The sequence below is a fragment of the Homo sapiens genome, chromosome 19, assembly GCF_000001405.40.
Source record: "Homo sapiens chromosome 19, GRCh38.p14 Primary Assembly".
NCBI classification, from domain to species: Eukaryota; Metazoa; Chordata; class Mammalia; order Primates; family Hominidae; genus Homo; species Homo sapiens.
Window position 1 is genome coordinate 31,147,750 of NC_000019.10, and position 27,434 is coordinate 31,175,183.

Sequence of the window (27,434 nt, forward strand, 5' to 3'; positions counted from 1 at the left end):
AAAAATAAATTTTTAGAATCAAAGATGTGGTTTGTCATTACATCCATGTGGTTGTAAAATACAAGTTTGAGTTTTTGTTTTTCGGAGGAGGAAGAGGCTCACAAAGACTAAAGTGCTTAGGGCCTTGTAAGAGGGGGCACATGGCCAGGGCTCAGTGGTTGGGGTAGGGGTCTCTGGAGCCTGGAGGTGGCCTCAGAGCTAAGGGACAGGTGCCCCCATGAAACACCCCAAGCTTAATTTGACTCCAGGCCACTGTGGCTTCTGAACTGATGCCTGGGCTCTCGGCATAGAAAGGGGGACTATGAGAGGGAGATCTGGGGTCCCTGTCCCTCCTCTGGTCACTCATTTCACTCAGTGGGTGGGTGGGGGTTTAAGGGAAGGAGGAAGTTCTATTCTGCAGACCCTCCAAGTACTGTGCACACATCTCCTGGATGCTGGGTCACCCAGCCCTGAATTCTGGGGAGCTGCTGTCCAGTAAAGAGATATAAGCAGTCCATAAAAGACTGCAGTCCAGGGGGAAATGAAATGGATACATCAGAGGGACTGGGGTGAACCTGCTGGAGGCTGGAGTGATGGGGTGATCTGCAAGGAGGGGCCAGAGCAACTTATGAACCCAGGCATCCCCGACTGCCACGCCTGTCCTCCTTCCCAACACAGGAAGTCTTTGTGAGTTCGTCTGCTTGAGCCTTTGCTCTGGCCTCTCCCCCTTGGTCAGATGGCCCCTCGAAGGCCTCCGCCCTCTCAAAGAGCCCTTCCTCTAAGCCCATCTCAATGCCCCCCACTTAAAGAGTGCCCCATTATCTCTAGCAGGGTCACTGGGATTGGTTCTACCACCAATACACTGGCAATCATTTTCTGATCTCTTAAATAGAACACACAGTCCCCAGTCCCAAGTGGCTGGTATACAGTGGGTGCTTAATACACAACAGCAATCTTGAGGAAGCTTTTAGAAATTAGCAGATGTAGACCTTCATACTGAGCTACTTTCTAACAACTTCTTAAGGATTATTTTTTATTTATTATTCTTAGAGACAGGGTCTCACTCTATTGCCCAGATGAGTGCAGTGGTGCAATCGTGGCTCACTTCAGCCTTGACCTCCTGAGCTCAAGCCATCCTTCTGCCTCAGCCTTGTGAGGAGCTAGAACTATGGCTATGTGCCACCACGCCCAGCTAATTTTGTTTGTTTGTGTAGAGGTGGGTGTCTCTTTTATGTTGCCCAGGTTGGTCTTGAACTCCTGGCCTCAAGCAATCTTCCCTCCCCGATCTCCCAAAGTGCTAGGATTACAGGCACAAGCCATGGTGCCTGGCTGGAGCTACGTTTTAAGTCACTTTGCAGGGACCCTCTCTGCCCTGCCTGCTCTTGGAAGAGTGAGCAAGGGGCTTCTCCCCACCCCCAGGGCCACCTTACATTTTATTTATTGAGAGCACTTTTCCCTGGGACCAAAACTTCAGCATCACTCCCTAAACTCCTGACTGTCCCAGAATCCCCATCCAGCACCCTAGGAGCAATCCAGGAGCTCAGAATTCACTGTTATCCCGGTAGAGTGTGCATCTTTGCCTGTCAAGGTACGCCCCAACTCCAAGGTCTGCCACGCACCCCCACCCCCAGAGCAGAGCCACAGCCGGCAGGGTGGGAGGTGCAGGGAGGAGGAGCTCCTTTTCCATCTACTTCGGCCAACACACAGGGTTCAGGCAGGCCTGTGGACAAGGCGGAGGAACTCCCAGGCAGCCAGGCTGGCTTCGGCGTGTGGAGGCGGGAGGGGCACAGCCAGGTGCGAGGGAAGGCTGGCATCTGGCGCCCACTGCCTGCCCACCCGCCCGCCCGCCCGCCCAAGTAGGTCTGGGCTTCCCTGCCTTTAATAACCATCCCCACCGCAGAGGAACGGAAGCTAGAAACACACCGGCTTTGGCATTTCAGGCGAGTCGAGGGTGGATTATCAGGGCATTTAGAAGAAGGGGAAGGGAAGAAAAAGAGCGCTGGAGACCGGGAGACCACACAGGGAGACAGTGCACAGAGCTGCCGCAGCCATCTGCCGCGACTTCATATGCCGCCCCGGAAACTGACAGACACTGCTTCAGCAAGGCCCAGCCCGTCAGATGAGTCAATCAATCAAAAAAATTCTTATGAAACTTAATCATAGAGGGTCATGTTAGGGAGTGGGGAACAGATTAAATTACCACAGTATTAGATACGGGAAATGATTTCTGTCAAAACCATCTTTACTGCAATTATAATATGTTAATTATGTATTTCATTAAGTAAGTGGATTAGAGTCTGCACAGATGAAATCATGTGGAGGCTTTGAATCATTCGCCGAGCACGGTGGGAGGACTTCTGTGAATGGATCTCGTTTAATTTGGAAAACTTTTGCATGCAAAATGTGATTTTTTTCCCCTTCTTTTGTGACCCTGGCCCTCAGCCTCAGTGGAGAAAACGCCCGGGTTGCTGAGAGGAGAATCTGCTGACTGCCTCCTCCATGCTCTGAAGTCAGCCCGTGAGGCCCGTGTGCTGGGAGCCAGTCCCGGGCTCTTTCTGTCTTGCTTCTTTCAGCTTGCAGTGGGCAAAGCGATGCTGATGGCCTGCAAGGGGGATGGGCACCTCTGGGTGCCTGCTCATCTTCTAGCACAATTAGGCAAAGTCTTCATGAGGTTCAAAACCAAAGGACAACCAGTGCATCAAGAAGACAGCCAGGGTACCATATCCTGGTGCATCCACGTGTCTTCTGGCCACATCGCATGACATGCATCTGCCCTTTTCATTTGGCCTTTGGGGATACCCTGCCCACTGGGAAGACAGCTTTAAGAAGCTCAGTGGAGTCCCTTGCAAGGGAGATGGCTGCCCCACTACGGGCAGGATGGCCCACAGCGCACGGGGCAGACACAATCAGATTTTTTGCAGCACATATTTCAGGCCAGCTCTTCAATCCTCTCTGCCATTGGGCCCTGCTGTTTGGTAAAAGGGCTATTTAGCCACCTGGTTTCCAGGTATCTTTTTTTGTAGTTCTGAAGCAAGGAATGGGCGTTGGGCACACCTGTACCACCGAAGTCCCCTTGGGCCACCATGGTGTGGTCTGTCCCTCCATAGATGGACCCTAGTATCTTGTCCCTGCTCATCCTCAGAATCTAAGCTGGACATCAGGAGCCTGCCCATCTCAGCTTCAGTTCAAGGCAACAGAGGCCACCAAGGAGAAGACCTTCCATATCTCTGCAACTCTTCTATTCTTCTTGGCTTCTGAAGATCTTCTGGGATGTAAGGGGCAGTTGAGTCATAAACGAAATAAGAGTTAATAGTTATTCTTCAGAAAGAGGAGGTATCCAGTGCACATACATTTCCTGGGTCCCTAAGTATTCCATTATCAGTAATAACCACAGGGAAGTTTTGACGAAGAGGAGAAAAGAGAGGAGGCAGGCGGACAGGGCCTGCTTGGAGTGCATGGCAGTGTAAGTGACGGGAAAAGGTTGGCTGATTTGATGAAAACCCCATCAGCCTCTCTAGGGAGATATTACTTTCCTCATTATTCCACTGATTGGCCTTATTTCATCTGAAGAATGCTGTACATTCTTTACAGGCCTGGCAAGCTTCTTTAACAATATCCAGAAAAAAAAATCTATCACCTCCTTAATAGAAACAACAAAGAAATTAACATGAGCCATCTTCTTCCAGGGATCAGTAGAGAGACCTGGCCTGATCCCCTTTCTTCTGACCTAGCCACCCAGTCTTCAACCCCCAAAATTATCAAAGAAATTGTTTAAACGTTGTACACATAGGATGGTTGAGGGAGGAGCTTCTTCTACTATATGACAGCAGCTGAGGATGTTTCATAAATTCCATAAGGAGAACAAAGGCTCAAGTCTGGATCCCAGCATCCCCCTTTGCACAGAAACAAAATCTCGATGTGATTGGATGGTTCAGGAAGAACTCAGTTTTCAGGGAGAGTCTGTCTCGATGCAAGAGAATCAGTTTCGTCCCTGATGAAACATAGGGCTTCTCTTCCTAGCACAACAACAGAGAGGGAAGAACAAAAATACACTCGTGAAATTCAGGCTGAGACTGGCGTTATCAATGGCCTGGAGCTTGCAATAACTATTAATTAAGTGCATTTTTTCATTATTCTTTAGCAAAGAGGTAAGATTTAATGATGTAAGCTAACAATGGATGATAATTTAAAGTGGTGACAATAGTTTAATTATTCACACACACACAAAAGTTAACTCCATAACTTATTTCTTTGTGAGAACAAGTTCATTTAAAATATTTTGAACTGTGCATACAATTATCACTTAAACTCTTTCCTTCATGGCTTTGTAGAGACAAAGAGTCAATTCTCCCTGTAAATTTCTCACTAGACAGTTCTACAGATGAAGAATTCTGCTTAAAAAAAAAAGAAAAAGAAAAGAAAAAAAATCGCACCATTGGGTTTTGCCTAGAATGTCCTAGGTCTCAGGAATGGGATGGATGGTTCCATATTACTGTGTCTTTCCATTCCAATAAGCAGGAACCAAACTCATGCAATAACATGTGTATATGTGAGCGTGTGTGTGTGTGTGTGTGTGTGTGCATGTTTATGTGGAAGGTGCTTCTGTTTTTTGTCAGCCCATCCCAGAAAGCTCGTTTTTCCTTTTCGCTGACTATTCAGAGTTGGAGATGCTATATGTGGAAGGGGTGAGGTGGGAGGATTGCCGCTTCAGGGGTGATTAGAAAAGAAAGGAAGAAGAATAAATAAATACTGTAAGTGGAAGACATCCTCTTGAGTTCACAGCCTTTTCATGGCTTTGAGACAATATAATTGTAACATGACTGAGTATTCAAGCAGCTGGACCTCACCAAGGATGTTCAGGAGTGCCAGAGCTCTAGGGCCCTGGGAAGAGCCAGTGTCATTGCAGGGAGCTAGAGTTCCTGATTAGGGATGGAGTAGAACCTTCACGATTATCCTGTCATGGAAAAATGCAGAATTTAACCATGTCCAGTGCCCAGTCCATTCCTGATCCTAACTTCCTCTGTGCTTCCTTGCTGTGAAACACCTCCACTGTTAACAGCAGCTCCAGGGACCTTACAGAACCCAATGGAGAGGCATCTGAGGCACCATCACCAGACCCATGCCTTGAATGGAAGCAACTCAAAGTCCCAATGGACCCAAAGTCATGAAGCCATGATTAGGACCACACAGTGCAAGTATTCAGATGGATATTTTATAATATCAAATATATAAATGGATTTGTCAAGCCAACAAATACTTGAATATTGTTAAGCATTTGAATAATCCAATATAACAACTTCATTTAGGCTGTCTTTTAGATGACTCATTTCTCAGTGTAATTATCTCACTGGATGGTTTCATGGATCAGGAACTCTGGTTAGAATCATACTAATCCTGCCATTGGAGTTCAGCTGTTTACTACGGTTGGGTGTTGCATAAAGTTGATGATACCGTGTGACATAAGATACTGATGTATAAAGGCCAGTTTTCTACCATGATTACTGTTCGTCAAAAAGATGTTTAGGAAAAAATATAACATGGCACTCAGGATTCCTACTAAAAAATGTACATTCTAGACTATAAGTCTTCTAAACTCTGGTGAAACATTCTACAAAAGAGAAAGACTATGTGTAAAATTAATTCCCTCTCCTTCATCTTACTTATAGAGAAAGGAGTGGAAGGACAGTCATTTAAGCTGAGAATAAAATGGATTGCAGTTTTGGCAGAATAAGAAACTCTATGATCATCAGATGGTGATGTCTGATTGGTGTTTGATAAATATCATCCATAGTTTGTTGAACAGACATGTTCTCACTATTTAAAGGTACTCCACATACCACGTAGTTGCTATCACTTGACTTCTTGTTTTATTTTGTATTATCATAAATTAAACTTTTTGTTGTTGTTAACTTATTTATTGTCTTCCAGAGCAAGAGCTTTGTCCTTCTTGTTTGCTATGGTAATGCGGGCCTAAAACAGTGCCTGGCTCAGAGTGAGTATCTAATAAATATTTGTTGAGTAAATGACTAAATATGTGCTTAATATGGTTGTTGACTGTTAGGTAATTTTCCCTCCCTTAGTCTAGTAAGTGTGTTGACATAATTCATTTAATAAAGAGATTACAAAAATATCACCTTTGGTGGATAGAGTTATTGGCCCCAATTCTCAGCCTTAGCCCTGTGTTTAGAACTTTGCCTTATGAGTCTGTGGTTCTTCCCATTAAAGGGTGGAGCAAATTTCTTCACTCTTGTGTTTGACCAGGAGACTGACTTTGGCCAATAGCAAGAGAGGAAAGTGATGGTATCCCAGTTCTGAACTTCAGCCTTAAGAGAACTTGCATGTTTCTGCTCATTTCTTGTACTTCTGCCATCACCATGAAAAGAACATGCCTGGGCTTACCTGCAGGGCCCAGAAAGAGAGCACCAAACACTGACAGCAGAGCTACCCAGCAGAGCCCCACCCGTAGGTGCCTTGAGCCCCAGCCAGCCCACAGCCACAGGAATGACAGAAATGTTTATTGTTGTGTACCACTGACATGGTGTATTTGCTTGCAGTGCAACAATAGCAAGTCCACACATAATCTTTCTCTGACTCAACTTCATGTCATCCAGTCCCCCAGATGGATGACCCTGTACCCAAGACACTGAATTGGCCCAAATGACCAAGATAGATATTATACCCATGTCCAAGCCAGGACATCTGTCCTTCATTCCTCAGTGGACAGTAGGGAATAAAGAAGAGAACCACCTGACTAAGTGTTGTAGAAAAAAACCAGGTTCCTGTCACATGACCAGGAAAAATAAGCCATGCAGACACTTTGAAGGGCTGGGGATAATGGAGTTTATTGGGTGAAAAGGAAGAAGACTCTCAGCAAAGCAAGAGGGGTTCATGTTAACAGGCCCCAATCTCACAGATTGAATCTCAGGTCAGCTCCCAGAAACAGGAGAGACCAGACTCCTATCACCGCAAATGGCTTGAACTTCCCGAGGTTCCATCCCATCCTCCCAGTGTGCAGGTGGGCATTTTTCAGAGAGAATCAGGAAAGTGTGGGCTTCATTTGAGACCTGAAGTCTGGTTTTTTAGCCTTCAGGCTGTTTTAGGCTTGAAGGCAGGGTTTTGTGGGGGGACACTTGCTGCCTCCTGTCTCTATCATAAGGGCCAGGACCCTTACTCGGCACTTGCCATGTGTTGTCTCATTTTGTCCTCATGGCCGTGGTGTCCCAACTTCACAGGTAAAGATGCCAGGTTTGCTGAGGGGACACCCCTTGCCTCTGTTCTCCCACCTGGGAAGAGAAGTCCTGAAAGCATCTTTCAACAGTGGTTCTTGGAGATAATTCCAAAGAGAAGGACCAGCCCTGTCTGGAATCAGAGCAAATGGATGGAAAAGCAGAGCTAGCGAACCAATCACCTGCACTGTCTCCATCAGCCCCATCCTCACAGCCGCCTGAACATTGAATCTGGCCTCATCTAGACGTGATCCCATGCTCTCCCTGGGACTATGTTACTTGGACAAGGAATATTTGTCCTGGAATCCTTTGTACCCTGCTCTCTTACTTGCCTTAGATAACCCCTTCCGACAGGGAGCAGAATATTACATAAGGGATGCTGGAACTGTGCCTTCAAGATGACAGCATTTTTGAAACAAAGGCATAGCCATAAATCTAATTTGTTTCTTTGCCAGGCTTTCCAAACACAGCTTCGTTGTAGGAAAGTGACCATCCCATCAGAAAATGGAATAATTGTGACTTGCATTTTGAGGACATATCTTTCCGCAGCCTGGGCGCTAGTTCACGCATTCATGTGATAAATTTCTACTGAAGGCACACTGTGAGTCAGGCAGGCTTCTAGGGCCTCGGGGCCCAGATCATTCTCTTAAATTAGTGCCCCTTTGTTTTGGAAGCATTTTAGATTAGACGTCCTTTACCACTGCTTACCGTAGGACTTTAGATGGCTTTCAGACACACACCCAAGTTCTCGCCTTCGTCTGCCCCTGATAATTTGACTTCTATCTTGCCTTCCTAGCCTCTACCTGTTTCCACCTGAGGTTTCCCTGCCCTAAATGCTCCCCTCCATTTCCCTCTAACTTGTTTTCCAGGACACCGATCTAATGGCCTCAGAGAGCAAGGGGCCTTCCCCAACTTCCTGGAGGAGAACCTTTCACAAGTCCCTTAGTGACACCATTGGGAATAATAAATACTTTGTGACATTTGATGCACAATAAGAATATACCCTGAATAATGATCTAATGATCACATTGCTTTGCTTTTGTTATTGTTGTTAACCAATCTGGCTCAACTATTGGAATGTGTGCCTCTTTCTTCAGGTCAGGGACCGTGTTGTGAAAACCTGAGTTCCTGGGACATATTATGGAAGAAGCACAATAAAAACAGATGGGCCAATGTTAATTTGCCTATTCTGCTTATTGTTTATTGTATATGCTCTAGAATGTATGCTCCAAGAAGGCAGGACTCTGTCTGTTGTATTCAATGATGTATTATGAGTACCTGGAATAGTGTCAGGCACGTAATAGGTATTCAATAAATATTGTTAACTGAAAGAACAGTTAGGAGCAGACAGAGAAAATTTTTAGCACTTGTGTAACAATAATAATTCCAGTCTCCAAATACCTTGTCTTTTCCTAAAGGCAGTAGGTCTTCCCGATTCCGATGCCCACAGTTCTTTGTTCTCCCTATAAACAAAACAAGATATTATCAGTGGGATAAGACATCCCACTGGCACCAGTTTTTGTCGGTCGGGAGCAGGAGCAGATATCAGCCACCCAGGGCATCTATTTAAAGTGAAGAAGCTTTGACTTCTGGATCATTATCCACCTGCAGAAGCACAAAGATCTTTATGGGAGCACCATCTTTTTTGGTGATCACACCTCTGGAAATGATGTTATAAGACCAGGAAATTGATTTCCTGCATTGCAAAATCATTCCCAGGGTCATCAGTATCAAAGCCAAGTGGTTCATGGATTTTTTTTTCTTAAGATAAAGTGCAATATGCTTTGTGAGTTAAGCTTAACAAGATGTGATGAAATAAAGTTTATCCTTTGAATAAGTGTCATGGCTTAACACAGGCAGCCGATCCTGGTCCCTTCCTTAATCATGACCTACAGAATTGACTTCCTCCTAAGCAAAAAGTTACGGCACTGAGAAGGTAGCTGGGTGCATGGGGATGGGGCTGGCAGGCCACTTCTGCTGCCCAATGTGACCAGGCCCAGGAGTCCCTCATGCAGCAGCGATGAGACTGAAGGGAAAATAGGCACTTTCTTGCCTGAGAGCAGGGTGGTAAATTGATACAACCATTCCAGAGAGCAATGAGGCCCTAGGTACAGAATTGAACATATATTGACATTCTAACCTGGCATTTTTTTTTGTGGGAATTTAACTTAAAGAAACTCTTTGGCAGGTGGGTGCACAGGAAAACCAGTCCATGAAATGTGTTCTAGTGGTGCTTGTAATACAAGAAAATGATGGCAAGCTATCTACTGTCACTAGAACAGTAGATAAAACAAGTCTTGCTATATTCAAAGAGTAAAAGACTAAGTAGCAGCTAAAATGATGAACTAGAGTAGGAATCAGCAAACTGTGGCCAGCAAGCCAAATCTTGTCTGTCTCCTGTGTTTGTTAATAAAGTTGTATTAGAAGATACCCATTCATTTATTCACATATTGTCTGTGGCCACTTTTTGCTCTAAAAGGTTAGAGCTCAGTAGGTATAATAGATACTATAAGATCCACATGTAACCTAAATGCCTGGAAGTAGTTACAATCTAGCCCATTACAGAATAACTGTGCTGGTTCTTCTTAAAAGAGAGCTGCATAGATCACCAATACAAAAAAATGTTGAAGGAAAAGGGTAGATTATAACATAAAATGCCATGATGCTGTTTATGTGAATTAAACACAAACATATATGGCTATATACCTAAGTACAGGAAAGTGGCACAGATGGGCTGGAAGGTGTCAACCTATTTCATGATTCTAATCGCCTATGGGAGGGCCCAAGGAGAATGGACTGGGGCTGAAGGGAATCAAAGTCTATGCAAAGATAATGACTTATTCCTTCTGCTGCATAGACTTGAAATAAATATAACAACATTATGCTCCCAAGGGAGGTAGGCAGAGTCCGCAGGATGCAGGCCTCGATGTTTGAGGCATAGGCTGCTTCTAAGACCGCTTTTCCCAGCCCTGCCTCACCCTGTGGTCACTCTCGTGGTACAATGAACAACTTTGTCAACTGCACGTGGCAGACAACTCTGACCTGAGGGCTAAAGTTCAGGCAGAACAATGTATTTTAGACAAATAAATAATTGGGATTGAGGACAAAACTATAGATATACATATAATTTGGAATGCCCTAATTGTACTTTCCTACTGCTAACATCACCACTTAAAAATGTGAGATTTATCTAAGTCTGTGCCCTCCAAAACCATAGCTTCTAGCCACATGTGGCTACTGAACACTCGACATGTGGCTGGGACGAAAGAAAATGTACTATCAATGTAAAACACACACCGGATCTCAAGGACAATAGAGAAAAAAATATATGTATCTCATTAACAATTCATCCTATCCATGGCAGGTTAAAATGATCATGTTTGGTATACCAGTGGATTAGTCTACTATTGCAGCTGTAACAAATTACTTCAAAGTAGGTGGCTTGAAACAACTCCAATTTGTTATCTCACCATTTTGTAGGTGAGAAGTTCAATGCAGGCTTTACTGGGATAAGACTGAGATGTCATCAGGACTACATTCTTTTCTGGAGGCTCTAGAATGGTGGTCCCCAGCCTTTTTGGTACTAGGGACTGGTTTCGTGGAAGACAAGGTTTCCACGAGCCAGAGTTGGGGATGGTTTCAGGATGATTCAAAAATACTATATTTATTGTGCACTTTATTGCTATGATTGCTACATTGTAATCATATAATGAAATAATTCTACAACTCACCATAATGTAGAATCAGTGGGAGCCCTGAACTCACTTTCTTGCAACTAGGTGGCCCCATATGGGGATGATGGAAGATGGTGACAGATCATCAGGCATTAGATTCTCATAAGAAGCATGCAACTAGATCCCTCACATGCTCAGTTCACAATAGGGGTGGTGCTCCTATGAGAATCGAATGTTACTGCTGATCTGACAGGAGGTAGAGCTCAGGCAGTAATGCAAGCAATGGGGAGTGGCTGTAAATACAGATGACACTTCACTCCTTCTCCCATGGCACCACTCTCGCTTTCTCTTATGCCTCCCTCTTCTACGTTTGTTTGTTTGTTTGTTTTGAGACGGACTCTGGCTTTGTCACCCATGCTGGTGTGCAGTGGCGTGATCTCAGCTCACTGCAACCTCCGCCTCCTGGGTTCAGGCAATTCTCCTGCCTCAACCTCCTGAGTAGCTGGGATTACAGGCACCCATCACCACACCCAGCTAATTTTTGTATTTCTTGTGGAGATGGGGGTTTCACCATTTTGGCCAGGCTGGTCTTGAACTCCTGACCTCCGGTAATCCACCTGCCTTTGCTTCACAAATTGCTGGGATTACAGGCATGAGCCACCATGCCCAGCCATCCCTCTTCTACTTTTAAGGACCTTCGTGATTACAGATTATCTAGATCACATCCCTATCTTAAAATCAGCTGGCTAGCAAACTTAATTCCATCTGCAACCTCAATGCTCTTTTGCCATGAAACAAAGATTTTTGAACACCTTCGGGGAGGTCTTTATTTTGGCTATCACAATTGAGCTAAATAAAAATATTTTATTAAAATTAATTTTACCTGTCTCTTTCCACCTTTTTAATGTGGCTATAAGAAAATGTAAAGTTGTCCATGAAGCTCTCATTCTATTTCTATTGGGCATCACTGCTTCAAGATGTGAATGTGCTTCACCAACTATAAGGTACCTTGATGGTGAGGAATGTTAATTGAAAGAAAATGACTTTTTATGAAGTGACTTTTATTTTTTTTCTTTTTTTTTCAGATAGGTTCTCATTCTGTCACCCAGGCTGGAGTGCAACAATACAATCATGGCTCACTGCAGCTTCAATCTCCTGGGTTCAAGTGAACCTCTTACCTCAGCCCCCCAAGTAACTGAGACTATAGCTGCATGCCACCATGCCCAGCTAATCTTTTATTTTTCATAGAGATGGGGTCTCACTATGTTGCCCAGGCTGGTCTCAAACTCCTGACCTCAAGCAATCCTTCTGTCTCAGCCTTCCAAAGTGCCAGAATTACAGGTGTGAGCCACCACACCCCAGAATGTTGCTCTTGAAGATAGCAAAAACACACTTCCCCCTGGAGGAATAAATAATACTACGATAGCTCACATTTAGTGAGGGCTTACAATGGGCCAGGCCTTGTGTTTAAATATCAGTTGGTTTCATCTTTATATTAACCCCGAGACAGGTACTGTTGTTCTTTATGTATTGCAAGTAAAGTTGCTGAGGCACAGATAGGTTAAGTAATTTGCCAAAGTCACACAGCCAACAAGTAGGAGCACAGGCTGTGGACTCTGGAGGCCTCCCTCTAGGTGGTGTGCACGTGTTAGACATCAGTTTGCACTGTAAGATGCATGAAGGGTGCTGTTCTTAGACACAACTGGCAAAAACAACAACGCTCTGCGGTCTATCTGCCCCTCTGCCAAGAAACTACAAAAGACACCTCTTCTTTGTGCAGCTCTTCAGAGTGACAACCCTGGTATCTAACTCCCAGCCATAAAGCGAATTTCCCCTGGATACTCTGTCTTGAGGCAGCCCTCCAAATGGGTATTTGAGTCTGGCTCACTTTTTAAGCTCCACGTGTGACTAATTCCCACCAGACAGACAGCAGCAGGAGTCCAGCAGCTGCAGGGAAAGGCCTCAGCTTCTAAGGTCTTGAAGGAAAGGGATAGTTTAGCCACACACATATTCGCACACACACACAAACACACAGGCACACATACATACACACAGACACACATGCATACACACATATACACACGTATATACACATACACACACGTATACACACACACATACACAAAACTACACACACATACACACATACACATACACATTCACACACATTCACACACACATGCATATACACACAATTTAAATATCTCTATACTTATCTCTACTTAAAATATTTGTGTATGTCCAAATGAATATATATATATGCTTTAAATATCTTTTTCTGTATGCTGATATATGTATGTCTGTGTGCACATGTAAATTTGTCATGCATTTCCTTGTCTTTCTCACTTATTTTACCCAACTCTTTCTCTCTTAAATGTCTCTACAGCTCAAGATTTCCTTACATAGTTCCAAAGTTAAATTTTATTTAACATTCATTTATATATCTTTGCGTGCGTGTGTATGTGTGTGTGTATCTCACATGGAATAATTCCTGATCACCACACATATATGAATGCCTCTGTATGTGTATAAACACATAATAAAAGTACATCCATATCACCAAGAAAAACATTTTAAAAATTATTTTGGTGAGCCTAGATTCTGGATGCCTGATAGCGGTATGATTTCCTACAGTGTATTTAACCAAACCCCACTCCAGTATTAAGGAGCACACACAACTAGAATTATATTTTACTAGCAGACAACTCTGAACTAAGGACTAAAGTTAAGGCAGAACAACATATTTTAGACAAATAAATAATTGAGATTTTAAACAGAAGTACATGCATAGATATAATTTGGAATGCCCTAATTGCATTTTCCTATGCTAACATCACCAGTTTTGGAGATATGGGATTCACAGTTTTAGGGATATGAGTCCCACAGTTTCTCCTCTTTAGAATTCGCTCTTTACTTGACCTCCCTTAGGCACACACAACATTTCCTCCATAAGAGATGTTCTCTGAGTCGCATCTGCATTTCCTAATATCTGGAAACCCCTCTGGGTCACCCTTCCCCTCAGTAACTTTGGGCCACCTCCTGGGCCCTGATGTGCAGGATCCAATCAGGCAGACGTGCAGTTTGCATTTTTAGAACCGGCCTATTCTGTTCCTTTGCCATGCTGTGGCAAGCCCTTTCTGTAAAGGGCCAGATAGTAAATATTTTTGGCTCTGCAGGCCACACGGTCTCTGTTACAACTCAACTCTGCCATTGTAGGGCATGAATCGTGGGCTATATGTAAATGAAGAGGCATGGCTCTGTTCCAGTGACGCTATTTCAAAAACAGGCGATGGGCCTGGATGTGGCCCACTGGCCATATTCCTGACCCCCGCCATCCACCAACATGGGTCGTTATCTCCTGATATCTGTAGGTCACTTTCACATATGTCTAGCTGAGGTACCCGGTGAGTATTTTAGAGCCCAGGGAACTCATCAGTGGCTGTGCTCATGCATAATTAGGTGGTGAAGCCAATGTGGTGATTTGAAGCTTCGTTATTTGCTCCCCTGATTTTATTCTCCAAGGATCTGTGAGTTCCTTGCGTGTCCTATTGATCACTTTTTCCCCAGCACCCCAGCACAGTGCCTGGCCCACAGTAGGTACTCAGTACTGATGAAATACTTAAAAAAAATCTGATTATAATCTAATTATAATCAGGTAGAATTTAAAGTATAATATTCATTCAATACTTTTTCAGAAAGTGGTAACATCACTCTTGAATGGATAATGGAAATGTTGCTATTATCGGGCTGTCAGATGAAACAATAATTTATGTGAGTCTTGCAAATAGAGGAGGGGGAAATTATTTCCTGGCCCGCCCAAATTTGTTTCAGACACTTGAATGGATGAATGAGTAAATGGATGACGGCTTTTTTCCGACTTTCTTGGATTTTCCTGGGGCATGGAGAGCTGGAGTCTTGCCTCTCTTTCCTTTTCCACCTCACAGCACACGTCATTTTTTGATCATGAAATTTCTTTACCACCAAGATCAGGCAAAGCCTCAGAATCCTTGTCAACTCAGCTCCCTATGCAGGTACTCACAATCAGTCCAAGTTAACAAGTGCTGTGAAATGTCTTTGTTATCCCTAAACCAAATGTTTTCTTGAGCATCTACTATGTGCTCAGCATACATGAGGTTAGGCAAGATTAACCCAAAGTAGGGAGGTAACAAGGAACCATGGCACAGCCAGGGGTGTCAACATAAGTGCATGGGCACTCAGAGAGACCCCGAGACCTGGAAAGCGTGGGAAGTAATGGAATAATTCCAGTTCTTAGAGGACCCACTTTGTCTCAGGTCCTGTGCTACAGCTTTTATGTGCCCCACTGAATCACACAGCAGCCAATAAGCTAGGTCTCTCTCATTATCTAGAGAAGGAAACTGATGTTCTTAACATTCCTAGGAGCTGCAATTGACACCCAAGCCTTGGGACATGAAGCTGTGAAACCAGGGGAGATGAACTCAGGTGTGTTCTTAAGGATGCCAAGAGGAGGTAAACTAGTGGGCCTTACAGAAAGGATAAGCTTTGTTGGAAAAGAATGTAATCTTTGGCCTATTTCATCAGTCTGAAATATGGGTGCACATGTTTAAATGGGTAGATGGGTGGGAGGGTAGATGGATGGATGGATGGGGCCAGATAAGCTAAAGCATAGGGTTTGAGGTTGAGTTGGTAACACTAAGTCTGGAAAGATGAAATCTGATTATAAAGGGCCTTGAATGCCAATTTTTAGAACTCAGATTTATTCTGTAGTGGAGAATAGAGAGGCATGACAGTTTCAGTGGGGAGTACAATTATTGGTAAGATGCTTTAAAAGATGACTATGGTGGCTGGGCACAGTGGCTCAGGCCTGTAATCCCAGCACTTTGGGAGGCCGAGGTGGGCGGATCACTTGAGGTCAGGAGTTTGAGATCAGCCTGGCCAACACGGTGAAACCCACCTCTACTAAAAACACAAAAACTATCCAGGCCTGGTCGCGCTTGCCTGTAATCCAAGACACTTGGGAGGCTGAGGCATGAAACTCACTTGAACCTGGGACGCAGAGGTTTCAGTGAGCTGAGATGGTACCACTGCACTCCAATCTGGGTGACAGAATGGAACTGTGTCTCGAAACAAACAAAGAACAAGAAAGATGACTATGGCCCCAGTGAGGAACATGGATTAAAAGGACAGGCTGGGGCACACAGCTCAGAGAGGTGATTGGGCACCAATAATCCCATCAAGAAGAGCTGCAAGTATATACTGGGGGCTTACCCTGCACCAGGCACCCTCCTAAGTGCTTCATGGGCATTTTCTCACTCAATTTGTGCAAGATCCTAAGAAGTAAGTGCGTGTTTATCATCCCCATGTTACACTGAGGAAGCTGAGGTGCAGAGAAGCTAAGTAATGTCCCCAAGTTGGTGCTTACAGTGAGCAGGTGGTCGAGCTGGGAGTCTCACGTGAGCGGCTGGCTCCAGAGTCCAGACCCTTGACCCCGACACCTTTTTGGTGGTCAGGGACAGCCAGAGGTCTAGAGGACAGTAAAGGGGATAGGCATTGGAGCAACAGGAAAGAGAACGAGACCAGCCAGGTGGCTGTTTTAGAGCTTCTCAGGCCATCGACCCAGAACATCGCACTATTGCCCATGGAAGCTGAATGCCCCGCTGTTCCTGCACTGCGAATTCTGGGGACGCGCTGTTGACCTGGACCCCTGAGAGAAACCCAACAAGAGCCCCTGGAAGGATAGAAATCTCAGGTATGCAGGATTGCATACTTATTCATTAATAACCAAAGAAAGAAACACTAATATTTCTTTATAAACGTGAAATGTTAGACACTGTTCTAAATATTTCCCTGGCAGCCACCTACAGCCTAGCACAGTGCTTGGCACAGAGCACACACTCCATACACATTTGTTGAATAAATGAATGAATGGTGAGTGAATGAAGGAGCACTGTGCTAGGAGCCAGAGCCTCGGGTCCCAGTCTGAGCTTCTCCATCCTCCTGTTTGATAGAGCTTACACAAGTCACACCGACCTCTCTGGACCTCAGTTTTGGCAGAATGATGGGCGAGTGAGCCAGGGAATTCAAAGATTTTAAGGACGCTGCGTGCATGAAGGCTCCTGTTCCAGCAGCTCTCCCCGGGGTGAGGTGCAGCTCCCACCAAGCTCTCCTCCTTTCCCCCCTTTGTGGCTGCTGCGGTGGTTTTCCCTCTCTGCAACAGGACATCAAATGGTTAATACACCACCCATCGTCTTTGATTTATGAAGTGGCCGATTGGACCAGGAAACACAACACAGACAGCCTTCTCACTTGCAGGGGAGACCCCAGAGAGCAGTAATTCTGTGCATAAAAGCGAGCGGCAGCCTCGGGCCTCAGTGGTGGTGGAAAGCCCACCCTGCCGAGCCCGTCCCGGGGATGATGCCAGGGCCGGCGTTTGTTCCTGCTCTGTGCAGGGACAGAGGCGGCTTTGTCACCTGGCCCCTGTCGTCCACCCAGCCCCGGAATCTCCGCTGCCCAGCCTTTGCCCTGAGAACTGAAGTGCAGCCCTGCCCCGGTCACCGCTTAGCGGTTCCTTTCAGCGTCTGCCAATCTATCAAGATTCAGCTACCGCTGTGAACCCATCAACTCCATGGAAAGGAAAAAAGGAACCCTCACCACAGCAATTATTTATCCTGGCCTGAACTTCAGGTGACCTTTCCCAGGTCCACAGAAGTTGCAGATGGGAGCACCTTGGTGTGTAGGATTTTTTCCCCACTGTGTCCTTTTAAAAAACACATTTTTTTTCATGACATGAACCTCTTTTGCAAAATTTTCTTTTGCAAAAAGATCTTTGGGTGGTCTATAAGACCACAACAGGGGTGGAACATTGGCCTACCTAGAGCACAGATTGGATGTAAACGAAGTCATCCAAAGATAAAATAAACGAAGAAACAAAAACTGTGACCTCATGGGGATGGTTTCAGAGAAGACCCGAGTGCAGCTCACCCACAGGCCAGCTCAGCCCTCGGACAAAAATAAGGGGCTGTTCTGCACCAAAGGCTCTGCCCTGACCCGGGGAGATCCAATATTGTAAACTCTGTGGGTGGGTATTTGTGTGTGTCCCCGAATCAGAGAAAAATCCAGGCCATAACAAGGACTATGCAGGGTGTAACTCCCCGTGTAAATTTAAAGTGACCTAAGGGACATAATTACATAAATCTCATCATGAGACAATATACTTTTTATTTGTTTGAATTTTATTTGTATTGGTAAAACTGACCTGAAACTGACACAAGTTTATTAGAAAAAGGACTCTGTAAAAGCAAGTGGGCTGGTCTTCTTATTTAAGATGGATGTGCCGACTTCTAGTATGATTAGAGAAATGGATAACTCACTAACATCTGTGCAAACTACAATAAAAAGGGATTTAGTGTTACCCCAAGGAAGGCAAGAGAGGCTGTCTGTCCATTAAACGCTTTATTACAGCGCCAGCAGCTTTTTTCTAATTCAGTTATTCCTGCACAGCGTTCAGCACTCTGACTGCCTGTCAACCCACCAGACAGTGCTCGGGGCTGGGAGGTTTTGTGCAAGGTAGGTGACAATCAAATGAGCCACTGAGAAGAGAGGGGAGCCTGACCCTCGTGAAGGATTAACTACAGAAAGTGAGTGTGATCATGTCACACCATTACTTAGAATTTTCACAGTCAATTTCTGAAAATATGAGATAAGTTCTTAAAGAGGCAGTTGTCTCAGGAGCTAAGCAGACCCAGTGTGGTTTTGTTCCATGTGACAGGGCAGGGAGCCTGGAGAAAGAGTAGGGACTTCGAGGGAGAGGGAACAGGTGGCATCAGCACTGTGCCTATCCTCTGTAGGGCATTCTAGAGCCAGGCCTTGGAGCAACTGGCTCCCAGGAAGGCTGCAGCCAAGAAGGGAGAGGATGGAGAGATGCCTTCTGGGACCAAGATGCCATATATCCCTCCTCCACTGGATGCTGGAATCCAGCCTCTCCTGGGGTCAACTGGGCTAATGAACATGACCCTTTGGTGATCATATTAGGCTTTGGGTTCACAGGAAGCCTGTCTAGGGCAGTCAAGATGCCGGTGCTGGGATGAAATGTCCATCTTCTATCACTCCTTTTCACCCCTGCAACTGCTACAACCAATATCATCATAAGCTTCCCCAAAAGACTATATGCCCCTACGGCATGCAAAAAGATCCAGTCCCACAGGAGCTCACAAGCCACATGCTTAAGAAAAGTACTATATGCTCAACACAAATATACTTGAGATATATATTTTCAAAGCCTGGCAAAGGTAGATGACAGTACAAGGAAGCATGGCACATTTTGGGGCCAGAGATGAGTCTGTCCCTCATTTATAGATGGCAGATCTTTAACACAAAAAGGGGAAGGCTCCACCCAGAGCACACGCAATCTTTGGGAAGTGGAGCTGAGACCGGAGCCCCATGTTCCTGATCTCCTGACCAACAGAAGTTATGCTACAGGGCTTCACGCAGTAGGGCTTTTTGAGAAGATGGACTGGAAATGTGATTTCTTCCTTTGCATCTATATATTTAAATGAGAAAAGTAAACCACAAACCTCTAAGCTTGGTTCTGCTAAAGTAATTTAACATCTGCTGCCACCTGAATGTAATTGAAACAATTCATTATCAAATTTACTGATCTGCTTAATGATTTTGTATTTCTCTTTCAAAATCACCTTCCTCCTAAGCTAGCCTAGGTAAATTACCCTTTGCTTCAAATCTGAGAGATTGAAGGGACCTGGGAGAACATCCAATTCAAGCCCCCTCACTTTAAAAATGGTGTAACAGTGTTTTGTGTGTCCATGGTGAGGTTGCAGACCTTTATCGAGGTCACAGAGCAAGTCCAGCAAGAGTTGAACACAGGCTGCCAGAATTCCACCCTTGTCTCATTCCGAGATTGTGTGCTGAGGGTTTTCAACTGCATCTCTAAAGGGAAGGCCAAAGAAAGAGCAACAGGAAAGGATGGTAAAAAGGGGGTAGAAAGGAAGAAGGAAGGGAAGAAAAAAGGGAAAACAGCAAGCTCTCTTTCCAGAGCCACACATTTTTTTCTGTTTGCTCAGTGGCAGTCTGTTAAAGAAATACTTCATTGTCACTGAACACAGAGTCATTAAAGGCACCTTGGAAATTTGGACCCTTTTACTAGAATCAGGGCTTAAATAGCAACTTAATTTATGACACTTCTCGAGGCTGATGGCGTTTTTGCTCTAAGGTAAGGTCATCTCAGTATATACCCCTCCCGTCGCTTCCCTTTAGAACACGCAGAGGCGTTTCCTCTTTACTTTCAAGTTACTGATTATTCAACTGCTCAAATGTAAGTCACATATGTATGTAGGCACGTTTGAGTCCACGGTGTGTTTCTAAAAGAGAGCTCTTTTATATCTGCCTGTAAAAGAGGAGAGCTCAAAGATGGGGGAACCCACAAATAAGCAAGTGAATAATTAGATCAGAGATAGATGCCACCTTTTCTCAGTGTTAAAACTGTGAGGGGAAAAAGTACTCGTGCATAATTGACATAATTGATCTAGTATTTTTTTTTCCTTTTTGCTGCAGTAATTTTTATGCATGCCATTGTTGCTGTTATTATCCAAGATGTGATCTTGCGTGGTTGATAATACAGGCTAGATATGAATACGCGTACGCACCAGCCAATCACAAATCTATAGTGTCTATTTCTGCATCACCAGGTGCTATCTCATGGGAAATATCCTCTTTTTTGGCAGGCACACAGAGCACTGCATTATCTGTCATTTTCATTAGATTCAAGCTACAGCTGGGCCAAAAAGACTTAGTTCTAGCATATGTGCTCAAAATGGCCAAGCTGCGATTGTCCAAATTCACCCTTTCAAGATTGCATTACTGAACAACTGGAGCCAAAGCTAGAAATTGGAGAGAGCAAAGCGCCTGAATTCCACTTGGAAAATGGCAAACACCATAGGCTCTGAAGATTGAAGCGTATTATCATGACTAACTCAAAGGGTCAGAGGAGACACTGGCTTCCACCAGCAAGCTCAACGTCTTTTGGCACATCTGAGGTGGGGATGGAAGCTGCAAGAGCCTAGATTTTGACACCACTTAACAAAGAAAAGCCAATGTCTTTCATTCCCCTCTGTGCCTTTCAGTATACCTTGGCCATGTGGAATGCAATAGGTTCTGTACCCAGGTCTTGACCTGGGCCAGCTGGTCTTGAGCCCCGTAGGACGTAGTCTGTGGCCTGCTGCATACTTGGATAGTGTGGGGTGTATAAAAAGCAACTCATCCTGAGGGAGAAAAGCATCCAACTGTCATAAGCTTGAGTCTCCATGCAAGTCTCCACTATTTTATAAATTCAGTTCTTTATGTGAACATGCGAAGAAGACATATTGAAAAATTAGCCCCACAAAGAAATAAATACAAAAATCCCCACTCCAGGTTGCTGGAAATGGGAGAACCACAGGGCTGGGGAAGATGGTCACTCCACCCAGTGGACTTCATGTTATTTGAAGCAGACATTGAAAAAAAAAAGAGAGAGAGAGAGAGAGACTAGTTGTTCAAGCAGAGAAAAAGAAAGTAAAAAGGCCAGTGGGAATGTAAAATAGTGCAGCCACTGTGGAAACAGTACAGGGGTTCCTCAAAATATTAAACATAGAATAACCATATGACCCAGCAACTCCGCTATTGGGTCTATACCCTGAAGAATTGAAGAGATACTTGTACACCCATGTTCATAGCAGCATTATTCACAATAACCAAAGTGGAAGCAACTCAAGTGTTCATTGGTAGATGAATAAATGAATAAATAGGCAAAATGCCATAGAGACAAAGTAGAACAGCACTCCCAAGGGCTGAGAAGAAGGGGGAATGGAGAATTACTGTTTAATTCAGGGTTACTGGTACAGGGTTCCAGCTGGGGAAGATGAAAGGATTCTGGAGATGGATGGCAGTAATGATTATACAACAATATGAATGCACTTAATACCACTGAGTTGTACACTTAAAAATGGTTAAAATGGCAAATTTCTTATTATGTGTGTTCTACCACAATGAAAAAAAAGGAGGTTTGTGTCTGGTCCTGGAGACACAGACTCCCTGAGTCTGTGCCGCAGCAACACCGAGCAATGCTGTGATCTTCCAGAATGCCAGTAAGGGTGAGCCCTTGGCCATGTGTCCTTTGAGCGATGTGCAAAGTTCCAAAGACAGAAGGAATATCTGGGATTTGGTTATGAGGATATATGCTGCCCTAGAATTGTCCCAGGTTTTCATGCCAGGGTGGAGACCTCACACACCATGGTGGCAGGGGATTTCTGCAGGGAGAAGTCTGCTGACAAACCCATCTTATGGGTTCTGGCATCTTGGCCACAGACAGCAGTCAGCTGTTTTTCATCTGCACTGCTAATAGGGTCTAGCTGAATGGCTAACAAGCAAGGTGAAATGTAGCATGAATGTTTTGAAAGCCATGGAGCCTCACTTTGGGTTCAGGAGTAGCAAAACTAGCAAGAAGGTCACTGTTGCTGATTGGGGACAAATGTGATGAGTGTTGGGGGCTTAAACAACAGGGATGTATTTTCTCACAGTTCAGGAGGCTGCAAGTTGGAGATCAGGGTGACAGCATGATCAGGTTCGGGTGAGGGCTCTCTTCCTGACTTGCAGACAAGCACCTCCCTGGTGAGTCCTCACATAGGGATTGATGGGGGAAACAGAGCTCTGGTAGTCTCTTCCTCTCCTTATAAGGGCACTAATCTCATCATCAGGGCCCTACCCTCATTACCTTATCTAAACCTAATCGCCTCACAAAGGTCCCATTCTCCAAATTCCATCATGTTGAGGTGTAGGGCCTCAACATATGATTTGGGGGTTTGGGGGGACCTACATTCAGCCCATAACAAATGTGACTCTTACCTTCACCAAACCATTCTTCCTGCAGCTAAAGAGAGCATCCCACATCTACATGCTCTTGGGTCCTGTGGTCCATCTGTTCTCATTAGCTGTAATTCTTTGGGTTCCATATTTCTCTCATACCCTTCCAAGTCCAGCTAGACTGCAAGCATCAGTTTATGAATAGGAAATTAAAAGTAACCTACAAAACACCTGATTTTGAAAAGATGTTTCCCCACAGGGGCCCTGTTGTCTATTAATTGTAGTGCTTTAAAACAAAGTAAATATTTTTTTGTTGTTAAAAGAAATTTCTTCTTGCATTTTCTTTCCATTATCACCCCATTAATGGAGACGAGGTAAGGCAATCTGAAAACATTTGAGTCAGAGAATATACAAACAAACTTTCAAACTGTCTTTCAGCAAGTGAGGCTAAAGTTATTGAATATGCAAATTGGCTTATTAAAAGAAGAATGATGTCTTTTTCAGCAATCAGTTTAATTACAGTGGAACCCTTCAATGGAGAAATCAACTTGTTTCTTAGAGTAGAAATTCTTTAGAAAGGGAATTTAGGTATAACAGATCAAAATTAGAAAATTTACACTTGGTGGGAAAAATGGTCTCAGTAAAGAAAAATGTACACTTGGTAGAAAAAATGAGGTGGTGGGGGAAGAGGAAGAGAGATGCCAGTACCCCGCTTGGTAGCCTTGCCTGGGTCTCTGAGCCCCAGGCTATTTGTTTGCCATTGTCCTGCTCTACAGCTTGAAGGCGGTGTTACCAAAATGCCAGGGGTTTGGTCTAGATCACGTCGCTCCCTGCACAGAAAGACAATCACTGAGACAATGAGTATTGCCAGGGAAGAAGACTTTATTCAGATGATGCAGCCCAGGAGATGGGAGATGAGTCCCAAATCCATCTTCCCAACTGATTCAAATTAGGGGTTTATATAGCAGGGAAGAAATGTAACTATGTGTGGGAAAACTGAAATTAGGGAGCAGTCTGGAATCTCAGAGTTTGGATGTGGTGATACTATCTAGAAGCCAGAGAATCAGTTTCCTGAGAAAAGGACTCAGCTCATACAAAGATAAATTTCAAGCTTTAAGACAGGGAGGGTGAATTTCTATGTTTATTCAAAAAAGAAAAAAAAAAACCCATAAACCTCAGTTCTATGGGACAATTAGGCCTGTTTCAAAAGAAAAGATATAATGGCCTATAAAAGGTATTTATGCCCAATAACTAAGGCCTCATACTCCCTGTGGGGTAGGAGTGGATTTTTTTAGGGTTGGGCCCATGTGCACCAGGACCAGAATTAATGTGATGTCAGTATTGAGAAGGCCTTCCATCAGAGCCCTGTCCATTCTGCCCCAGGCCTTTCCCTTTCCCCTCAGAGGCCAGAGTTCCCTGCCCAGTGTCCCATTTCTCCAAAATCTTCTCCCCGCTCAGGTATTAGAGATCTGAGTAACCATGCAAGCCTCTCCTCAGTGAAGACCCATTTGTTCATTCCAGGCCTTATAGGTCTGTTTTAATGGAGGGTCCCGTGGTTGGGGGGATACTGGTCCTTCAAGAGACACCAAAACAACCATGACAACTGAGAAAGATCTCTGGAGAGACCTGGTCTGGAGGTACACTTCACCCATGTCCCACCCTCAGCTACCTCCATATCATAGTGCCCTTGGAAGGGCGGCCGACCAAGATTTAGGGCAGAGGTTTGAAGTCACACTTTTTGGGTTGACTCTCTGCTACTGACAGCATCAACTTAGTGACAACCAGCAAGTTGTAGATCCTCTCTATGCCTCAATGTGCTCATCTGTAAAATGGGGGCGATAACACTGTCTGTCTAATAGGATGGGTTTGAAATGTACAGAGAAAATCAGGCAAAAATTTGGTATAATATTTGTCCCACTGCAAACATTCCTTCAATAGTCATGGTGGTGGCAGCAGTACAAATCTCCCATGTACACTGCTTTGTTACCTTAGCTTTCACACAAGTCTGAAATGCAAAACATGCAATTCACACATACTCAAGAAATGCACAGGCAAGTGTTCCTTCAGTAAACTTCAAATTCTTCAGCAGAGAACACACGCCAACAGTGAACAAAACTGGGAAAACAATCCCTATACTTTAACGTTCTAGTGGAAAGACAAACAATAAATAAAAAGCATCATGAACATAAAGATCATATTTTATTTCAGAAGTATCTGCAGGGAACAGAAGAATAGAACAAAGTAAAGTGGTCAGAAGACCTGAAGCAAGCTAAGCAGTTGGCAGCGGCAATGTAAATAGGATGAACAAGATCAGGCTCATTGAGGAGAGGTTGAGCAAGGATTTTAAAATGGAGGGAGCCATGGAAATCTAGAAGAAGAGAATCTTAGGGAGAGAGGCAAAGGCCCTGGGGCAGAAGTGGGCCTGACCTGTTCCTGGCACAGCAGTAGGTCAGTGGGAATACAAGGAGGGAGTGGCAGGAGTTGGGAAAAAACACCCAAGATAGGGACAGAAGGTGATGGGGCTAGATCATGTAGGGTCTCAGAGCCACCATAAGGGCTCTAGCTCATGCTTAGATGAAATGGCAGTCCTTTGTAGGGCTCTTGAGCTGAGAAGTAGTATTAATTATCTGACTCTTATTTGAAAAGGAAGATCCAATGACCATGTGGTGGGTCACTTGGGATGGGGCACACATAGCCTGGAGGTGAGGGACCAAGCTGGTAGCAGCAGTTGTGGATGCGAGAATATTCTAAATGTGGAAATATTCTAAAGGCAATCCAACAGGCTTACCTCACAGATTAGATGTGGGGTCTGAGAGATACAGAGGAGACAAGATGACTTCCAGATTGCATTTAATTAATGCAAAGTAGTTTGTAAACAAGGAATCCCTGACTACCTTGTTTGTTGTGAAAAACAATAAATCTACATTTACTCTCAATTGCTAAGTGCTTACCTATAGTGTTTAACTCAGTACAAAAGACTATACTGCACATTTAAAAATGAGGTCACATTAAGAATATGTCATCTATGCCTCAGGTGAGGAATATGCTCAGATGAGGACATTCTGGGCATCAGGTGGTAAATGGAAAGCACTCATAAGTATTTTACTTCTGTCTGTTTCTTGAAAAAATATGTTCCCATCCCAGGGCATTTGCACATGCTATGGTTTGCACCTAAAATGTTCTTTTCTAAGAGCTTTGAACATCTGGCTGTTTCTCCTCATCAGCTCAATTATTTCCTCCAACCTGGCCACTCTCTCCCACCGGATCCTGTTGTATTAGTCAAGGTTTTCCAGAGAAACTGAACCAACAGGATACATAGATGTAAACAGATTTATTATACAGAATCAGCTCCCTGTAATCCCAGCATTTTGGGAGGCTGAAGCGGGCAGATCATTTGAGGTTAGGAGCTCGAGACCAGCTTTGCCAACATGGTGAAACCCCGTCTCTACTAAAAAGTCAAAAATGAGCTGGGCGTGGTGGTGTTCCTGTAATCCCAGCTACTCGGGAGGCTGAGGCAGGAGAATCACTTGAACCCAGGAGGTGGAGACTGCAATGAGCTGAGATCATGTCACTGCACTCCAGCCTGGGAGACAGAGCGAGACTCCGTCTCAAAAATAAAAACAAACAAACAAAAAAAAAAATTGGCTCATGTGACTATGGTGGCTTAGAAGTCCCCAGACATGCAGTCAGCAAAGGGGAAGACCCGGGAGAGCCCATGGGGTAGCTCCAGTTTGAACCCAGAGGCCTGAGGACCAGGAGAGCTAAGTGTACATTCCAGTCTGAAAGCCAGAAGGCTCGAGACCCAAGAAGAGCAGATGTTTGAGCTCAAGTCCAAAGACAGGAAAAGACCAGTGTCCCACCTCCATCAGTCCATCAGAAGGAGCTACCTGTTCCTCCTAGGAGGTCAGTCTTTTTGTTGTATTCAGGTCTTCAGTTACTGGATGACCACCCCACCTCACATTGTGGAGGGCCACCTGCTTTGCTTAGCCTAATAATTTAAATGTTAATCTAATCCAGAAACACTCTCACAGAAACACCCAGAATAACAATAATCTGGGCATCCTGTGGCCCAGATCACCTAAAATGAACCATCACACCTGGTGTGTCCCCTTTGTATTGGTATTTTGTGACTTTATCTTAGTTATTTATCTGGTTATCTATTTATGGGTTTGTCTTCTCTGTGAGAGTATCACATCCACCAGCTGTTTCTTGAATTAATGAAATACTGAATAAATGAAAACTTTCTGTGTGTGATTTGAGATCTAGGAGAGAGAGGCATGGAATTTTGCTGAGGCAAGGTGACATTGGTATGGAGGGGAGAGGGTACTTGATGAGAACCAGAAGGAGCCAGGGGGCTGAACAGGAGTGGGACCAGGAGAGAGATTGGGAAGAAAGTAGACTGGATGGGATCAAACCTTATGGGAATAAACAAAAATCCATCTCTGACAGCCAAATCCCCCCTGCATGCATTCTGGCTTTTATTTTTAATCTGGAGCAAAACATCCCCTGGCCTGACTCCTCTGACTTGGGTCCCACACAGCAAATCAAAGCCCAAACAGGGCGGGTCCCAGGCTGGGCTTTCCTGGAAAAGTGAGGAGTGGAAATGAGCCTTGTGGTCTCACCCCAGCCCTGGAAGGCCATTTGTCTGTAGGATAAAGGGGTCAGGCAATGGCCCAGTTCATCATGACTGGCAAGGCTGCCCCAAGAGGCCCAGAGCTGGATAGAC

The 27,434-nt window shown here is 44.6% G+C and overlaps 1 protein-coding gene and 1 long non-coding RNA gene across 3 annotated transcripts in view; one reads left to right on the forward strand and one right to left on the reverse strand.

Annotated features, from left to right (window-relative positions):
- The window catches only part of TSHZ3 (teashirt zinc finger homeobox 3), a 201,002-nt gene continuing 175,694 nt past the window's right edge, over positions 2,127-27,434 (reverse strand). For both annotated transcript variants that reach the window (NR_138035.2, NR_138036.2), the window contains 2 exons: positions 8,607-8,668; positions 2,127-3,995 (listed from right to left, as the gene is read on the reverse strand). The gene's annotated coding sequence lies outside the window, so the exon portion shown is untranslated. The remainder of the gene's footprint in view (positions 3,996-8,606; positions 8,669-27,434) is intronic.
- The window catches only part of LINC01791 (long intergenic non-protein coding RNA 1791), a 40,154-nt gene continuing 32,480 nt past the window's right edge, over positions 19,761-27,434 (forward strand). Inside the window, exons 1-2 of the long non-coding RNA NR_147209.1 lie at positions 19,761-19,840; positions 19,936-20,084. This is a non-coding gene — a long non-coding RNA (long intergenic non-protein coding RNA 1791). The remainder of the gene's footprint in view (positions 19,841-19,935; positions 20,085-27,434) is intronic.